Source organism: Homo sapiens, chromosome 20 (assembly GCF_000001405.40).
Source record: "Homo sapiens chromosome 20, GRCh38.p14 Primary Assembly".
Classification (NCBI taxonomy): Eukaryota; Metazoa; Chordata; class Mammalia; order Primates; family Hominidae; genus Homo; species Homo sapiens.
Window position 1 is genome coordinate 34,138,211 of NC_000020.11, and position 7,040 is coordinate 34,145,250.

The 7,040-nt window shown below is 43.7% G+C and overlaps 1 annotated feature.

Annotated features, from left to right (window-relative positions):
* Positions 5,199-5,699: an enhancer, noted in NCBI's record as "H3K27ac hESC enhancer chr20:32731215-32731715 (GRCh37/hg19 assembly coordinates)". NCBI's record gives its function as "activates a minimal SCP1, AML or CMV promoter by ChIP-STARR-seq in naive H9 embryonic stem cells {active_cell/tissue: H9 hESC(naive)}" and the evidence as "EXISTENCE:reporter gene assay evidence [ECO:0000049][PMID:30033119]".

The window sequence follows — 7,040 nt, forward strand, 5'->3', positions numbered from 1 at the left end:
AATGGCATGGGAACCAGGGAGGCGGAGCTTGCAGGAGCCGAGATCGCGCCACTGCACTCCAGCCTGGGCAACAGAGTGAGACTCCGTCTCAAAAAAAAAAAAAAAAAAATGCAGGGTGCGAAGAATGAATTAGGCTGGGCATGGTGGCTCATGCCTGCAATCCCAGCACTTTGGCAGGCCAAGGTGGGTGGATCACTTGAGCTCAGGAGTTCGAGACCAGCCTGGGCAACATGGCAAAACCCCATCTCTACAAAAAAATTCAAAAATTAGCTGGGCATGGTGGAGTGCCTGTAGTCCAAGCTACTTGGAAGGCTGAAATGGGAGGATCGCTTGAGCCTGGGAGGTCAAGGCTGCAGTGAGCTATGATCACGCCACTGCACTCCAGCCTGGGTGACAGAGTGAGACCCTGTCTCAAAAATAAATAAATAAATAAATAAATTATGTAATTTGTAGCAACATGGATGGAATTGGAGGTCATTATGTTAAGTGAAATAAGCTAGACACAGAAAGGCGAATATGACATATTCTCACTCATGTGGGAGCCTAAAAAAAGTTGATCTCATGAAAGTAGAGAGTAAAATGTTAGTTACCAGAGGCTAAAAGGGGTGTGGGTGTGTGAGTGGGGAGGAAGAGAGTTTGGTTAATAGGTACAAACATACAGTTAGATAGAAAGAATATGTTCTGATTTTTAATAGCAGAGTAAAGTGACTATAGTTAAACAACAGTATATTATGTATTCCAAAATAGCTAGAAGAGACAACTTGAAATGTTCTGAACACACAGAAATGATAAATGCTGAAGATGATGGATATCCTAAATAGCCTGAATTGGTCATTATACATTCTATGTACGTAAAAAACTATCATATGTACTCCATAAATATGTACCAATATTATGTATCAATAAAAAAGAAAGACAAAGGGAATAGGTTTTAGGAAGTGGGATCAACCTAGGAAGGAAGCAGAAGGAAGTCCCAAGAGGACAGCTGTATGCAGACTTAGAGAGACTGGAGAAAGAAGTGCTCTAGGGGTTGTTTCCAGTGAACCTGATAGAGTATCTGACATGTTTGACTATGTTGAAAATAATGTAGGCATTTTTACATTTATGTTGGAAATTCTGGAAGAATTAGTGATAATGACAGAAAATTTGGCAAACAAAAACTGAGGCAATTGTTAATTCCAAGAAAAACCAAAAATCGTGTAAGAAAGGAAATGTAGCTGGGCACGGTGGCATGCACCTGTAACCCCAGCTGCTCAGGAGGCTGAGGTAGGAGGATCACTTGAGTTCAGGAGTTCCAGACCAGCCTGAATGAGAGAGATCCCATTGAAAGAAAAAGAGAGAAAGAGGAGAGAAAAAGAGAGAAAGAAAGAGGGGGAGAGAGAGAGAAAGAGAGAGAAAGGAAATGTGATCATAATATGTCTAATTGATCCAGAAGTAAACCACATTAGTATAGGAGAGTCATAATAAGGTTAACATGAAATATTGATTTAATAAAATATATTGTGATATAACAGTATTGGGAAAGATAGAAAATAAAAGGTGTAAATTATCATATTTCCTGTAAGATACTGATATTGTCTGGATATTTGTCCCTGGCCAAATCTTACATTGAATTGTAATCCCCAGTGCTGGAGGTGGGGCCTGGTGGGAGGTGTTTGGGTCATGGGGTTGGATCTCTCATGGTTTGGTGCTGTCTTCACAATAGCACAACATCCGGTCATTTAAAAATGTGTGGCGCCGGCTGGCCGTGGTGGCTCATGCCTGTAATCCCAGCACTTTAGGAGACCGAGGTGGGCGGATCATGAGGTCAAGAGTTCGAGACCAGCCTGACCAACATGGTGAAACCCGTCTCTACTAAAAATATAAAAATTAGCTGGGTGTGGCAGCACGCACCTGTAATCTCAGCTACTGGGGAGGCTGAGGCAGGAGAATTGCTTGAACCCAGGAGGTGGACGTTGCAGTGAGCCGAGATTGCGCCACTGCACTCCAGCCTGGGTGACAGAGTGAGACTCCGTCTCAGGAAGAAAAAAAAAAAAAAAAACATTGTGTGGTAACTTCTGTCTCTCTCCCCTCCTTTTGCCACGTGATGTGCCTGCTATTACAATTGTTAGTTTTCTGCCTTTGTGATGTGGCTAATAATATCAAACGTGTGTTGAAGTCCCCTACTATTATTGTGTGTCTAAGTTTTTTCTTAGGTCTAGAAGTAATTATTCTATAAAGTTGGCTGCTCCAATGTTGGGTGCATATATATTTAGAATAGTTAGGTCTTCTTGTTGAATTGAACCCTTCATCATTATGTGATGCCTTCTTTGTCTTTTTTTACTGTTGTTCATTTAAAGTCTATTCTATCTGATACAAGAATAGCGATCCTTATGCTTTTTTTGTTATTTCCATTCGGACGATAGATCTTTCTCTGTCTCTTTACTTTGAGCCTATAGGTGTCATTATATGTGAGATGGATCTCTTAAAGACAGAAGAAATGGATGGATCTTGTTTTTTTTAATCCAACTTGCCAGTTTATATCTTTTTTTTTTTTTTTTTTTTTTTCTGAGACAGAGCTTCGCTCTTGTTGCCCAGGCTGGAGTTCAATGGCACGATCTCAGCTCAGTGCAACCTCCGCCTCCCGGGTTCAAGTGATTTTCCTGCCTCAGCCTCCTGAGTAGCTGGGACTATAGGTGCGTGCCACCACACCTTGCTAATTTTTGTATTTTTAGTAGAGACGGGGTTTCACCATGTTAGCCAGGATGGTCTCGATCTCCTGACCTCATAATCCGCCCACATTGGCCTCCCAAAGTGCTGGGATTACAGGTATCAGCCACTGCACCTGGCTGCCACTCTATGTCTTTTAAGTGGAGTGCTTAGACCATTTACTTCAAGGTTAATATTGATATGTTAAGTTTTGTTGCCATTGTAGTGTTGTTATCTAATTGCTTTATAATCTTGATTGTGTAATTGCTTTACAGAGTCTGTGGGCTATGTGCTTTTGTGGTAGCAAGCATCATTCTTTAGTTTCTGCAGTTAGAACTCCCTTAAGCATCTCTTGTAGGACTGGTCTCGTGGTGACAAATTCTCATAGCAATTATTTGTCTGGGAAAGACCTTATTTCTCCTTCATTTATGAAGAGGATTGCTTGAGGCCAGGAGTTCAAAACTAGTCTGGGCAACAAAGCGAGACCCTGTCTCTACAAAGAGTTAAAAAAGATTAGCCAGGCATTGTGGCATGCACCTGTCATCCCAGCAACTAAGGAAGCTGACGTAGGAGGATCACTTGAGCCTAGGAGTTTGAGGCTGCAGTGAGCTATGATTGCACAACTGTATTCTAGCCTGGGCAACAGAGCAAGATCCTGTCTCTACCTGAAAAAAAAAAAAATCCTAAAAATGGGCCCCCAGTCTCTTTTTGTTTGTAAGTCTTTGCTGAGAAATTCATTTTTAGTCTAATATGATGCTTTTCTCTAGTTGCCTTTAAGATTTTTTCTTTCACATTAACCCTGGATACTCTGATGACTATGGACCTTGAGGATGGTCATCTTGCATACTATCTCACAGGAATTCTCTAGATTTCTTGTATCTGCATATTGAACTCTCTAGCCAGATTGGGAAAATTTTCCTGAATTATATCCTTGAATATATTTTTCAAGTTGCTTACTTGTGCTTCTCTCTCAGAAATTCCAGTAAGTCATAAATTTGGTCACTTTATATAATCCCATATTTATTGATGGCTTTGTTCATTTTTTTTTAAATTTTTTTATCTTTATTTTTGTCTGACTGGGTTGATTCAAAGGACCAGTCTTTGAGCTCTGAAATTCTTTCTTCTACTTAGTATAGTGTGTTGTTAAGGCTTCTAGCTATATTTTGAAATTCTGTTAGTGAATTTTTAATTCGAGAAATTGCTTCATTCATTCTTAATACAGCTGTGTTATCTTTCAAATCTTTGATAGTTCTTCTGACTTCCCTGTGTTGGATTTCAACTTTCTCTTTGATCTTATTGAGTTTCTTTGCCATTCATATTCTAAATTCTATATCTGTTAGGATCCATTGCTTGAGACACAATGGGGTCCTTTGGCTAAACACTTTGGCTTTTTGTTTTCCTGGAGTTCTTGCCCTGGTTCCTTCTCATCTGAAGGAACTGACACTTCCTTTTTTTGAATTTGCTATCATTTGGATGGGGCTTCTTGATTATTATTATTATTTATTATTATTTTTTTGAGACAGAGTTTTGCTCTTTCACCCAGGTTGGAATGAAGTGGTGTGATCTCGGCTCACTGCAACCTCTGCCCCCCTCCCCCACCCCCCCAGTTCAAGCAATTCTCCTGCCTCAGCCTCCCGAGTAGCTGGGATTACAGGCACCTGCCACCATGCCCGGTTAATTTTTGTATTTTTAGTAGAGATGGGGCTTCGCCATGTTGGTCAGGCTGGTCTCAAACTCCTGACCTCAGGTGATCCACCTGCCTCGACCTCCCAAAGTGCTAGGATGGATTACAGGCATGAGCCACTGCACCTGGTGGCTTCTTGATTTTTTATTCTTTTTTTCCCTTGTTGGCATGACTGTGGTGTATGTTGTCTATGATTGATTGGCTTTATTTCTGGGTGTTTTCAGGGTGCCAAGGTTCTGTACAGGTTCCTTGGTTGTAGATAAGTTCATGCAGTGGCTTTCTGAAACATTATTTGTTGTAGTGATGCATGCACTTTTGTTCAGTGGTATAATTCAGTTGCCGTCCAGTAGATGGTGTTTAAGAGTAAGAGCCATCAGGGAGGTGTGCGGGTGGAAGCAATGGAGAGTCAATCACAAAAAGCACTTTCCTTCAGGGTATTCACCTTCAGTGAAGGTGAAGCTGCCGGAGAAGCCCAAGAAGTGGTTTCTGTAAGCCCATGCTCCCCAGCCCTGTTGGGAACAGCCACTGTCAAGTCCACAACAGTGCACTGAGGACAAGGGTAAGGGGAGAGAGATGACCTTCTCTCTATGTCTATTTATGGGCTTTGGTGGTACTGCCTTCAGCAACTGGTGCTGAGCTTGCATTTCCTGTGACCCAAGGGGGGCTTTGGCAGGCCATGTTCCCCCTCCCATAGGGATGGACTGCACCAAGGGTTAGATCTCCAGGGGCGTAGGGTCTGCCCCTCTCTTCTGCTTCTTGGAGCTGGTGGGACACTATACCCCAACTGACCAAGGGAGCAGGTTAGGGCACTAAGCAATGACACATGCAGACTGGTTCCAGGTCACAAAGCTGTCCCTAGCTGCAAGTCTCACCACTGGTGAGAAACTTCAGCTTCAGCAACTCTCCTCTCACTCCAGTCCTATGATGGGAGACAGCCTAATTCAGTGTTTATGGCTGGGGCACTCTTCACACTCAGTGACCAATTCTGGCTGTGGGCCCTTCCCCCATTCCAGAGCAAGCACTCTAATCTCTAGCGTGAGACTAAAATGCCTGCTGTGGCTGCCACTGCCAGGTTGCCAAACAATGTCTGGCTTTGTATGAGCCTGGATTAAAAATGGCATCCTCTAATCCCAGCACTTTGGGAGGCCGAGGCGGGCGGATCACGAGGTCAGGAGATCGAGACCATCCTGGCTAACACGGTGAAACCCCGTCTCTACTAAAAAAAAAATACAAAAAATTAGCCGGGCGTGGTGGCGGGCCCCTGTAGTTCCAGCTACTCGGGAGGCTGAGGCAGGAGAATGGCGTGAACCCAGGAGGCGGAGCTTGCAGTGAGCCGAGATAGTGCCACTGCACTCCAGCCTGGGCAACAGAGCGAGACTCCGTCTCAAAAAATAAAAATAAAAATAAAAATGGCATCCTCCTCTTGGCCCCAGATCTGGGAAACTGTCTGCACTTTTCCCAGTATCTTTCCCTTTCTCTGTCTCCCAGGGCTTGGGAGAAACGAGTGTTTTTCCGTGGCCTGGGTTGCACAGATCCGTAGAGGAAAGGTGAGTCATAGAGGGAGACCGACTGCCCCTGTCATATACTGGAGCTTCACTCACATTTATCAGCCAAACACCACCACGGAGGCTGCTTGTCCACCTTCTCCTCCCCAGGGTCTGGGTTATTGTTTACCATTTCAGTGAATTCCTGTCTTCCTTCTTGAATTAAAGCTCTCATAGTTGGTCTTTATGTGCTGTTTTGTTGTTTCCAAGTGGCTAATGCATGCTGAAAGCTTTTAATCTGCCATCTTGAAGAAAAAAGCACCTAGTATTTTTAAATAGAAATTTATATTTTCTGGTTACGAAGGAAATAATGGCTAAAAAAAAAATGAAACATTCCAGAAACAAAAAATGAAAGTCCTCCACAATTTTTATTATGCATGTTTAATAAAAGACCATGAACTCTGCAGAGGAAAAAGGAGAACTTTATTTTCTAAAACCAATCTGCTGGCCAGGCGCTGTGGCTCACACCTGTAATCCCAGCACTGGGAGGCCAAGGCAGGTAGATCACCTGAGGTCGGGAGTTCGAGACCAGCCTGGCCAATATGGTGAAACCCCATCACTACTAAAAGTATAAAACTTAGCCAGGCCTGGTGGCACACACCTGTAATCCCAGCTTTCATGCGCGTCCGTGTGAAGAGACCACCAAACAGGCTTTGTGTGAGCAACATGGCTGTTTATTTCACCTGGGTGCAGGCGGGCTGAGTCCGAAAAGAGAGTCAGCAAAGGGAGATAGGGGTGAGGCCGTTTTATAGCATTTGGGAAGGTAATGGAAAATTACAGTCAAAGGGGGTTTTTCTCTGGTGGGCAGGGGTGGATCTCACAAAGTACATTCTCAAGGGTGGGGAGAATTACAAAGAACCTTCTTAAGGGTGGGGGAGATTACAAAGTACATTGATCAGTTAGGGTGGGGCAGGAACAAATCACAATGGTGGAATGTCATCAGTTAAGGCTGTTTTTACTTCTTTTGTGGATCTTCAGTTACTTTAGGCCATCTGGATATATACGTGCAAGTCACAGGGGATGCGATGGCCTGGCCTGGGCTCAGAGGCCTGACACCAGCTACTCGGGAGCCTGAGGCAGGAGAATCGCTTGAACCCGGGAGGCGGAGGTTGCAGTGAGCTGAG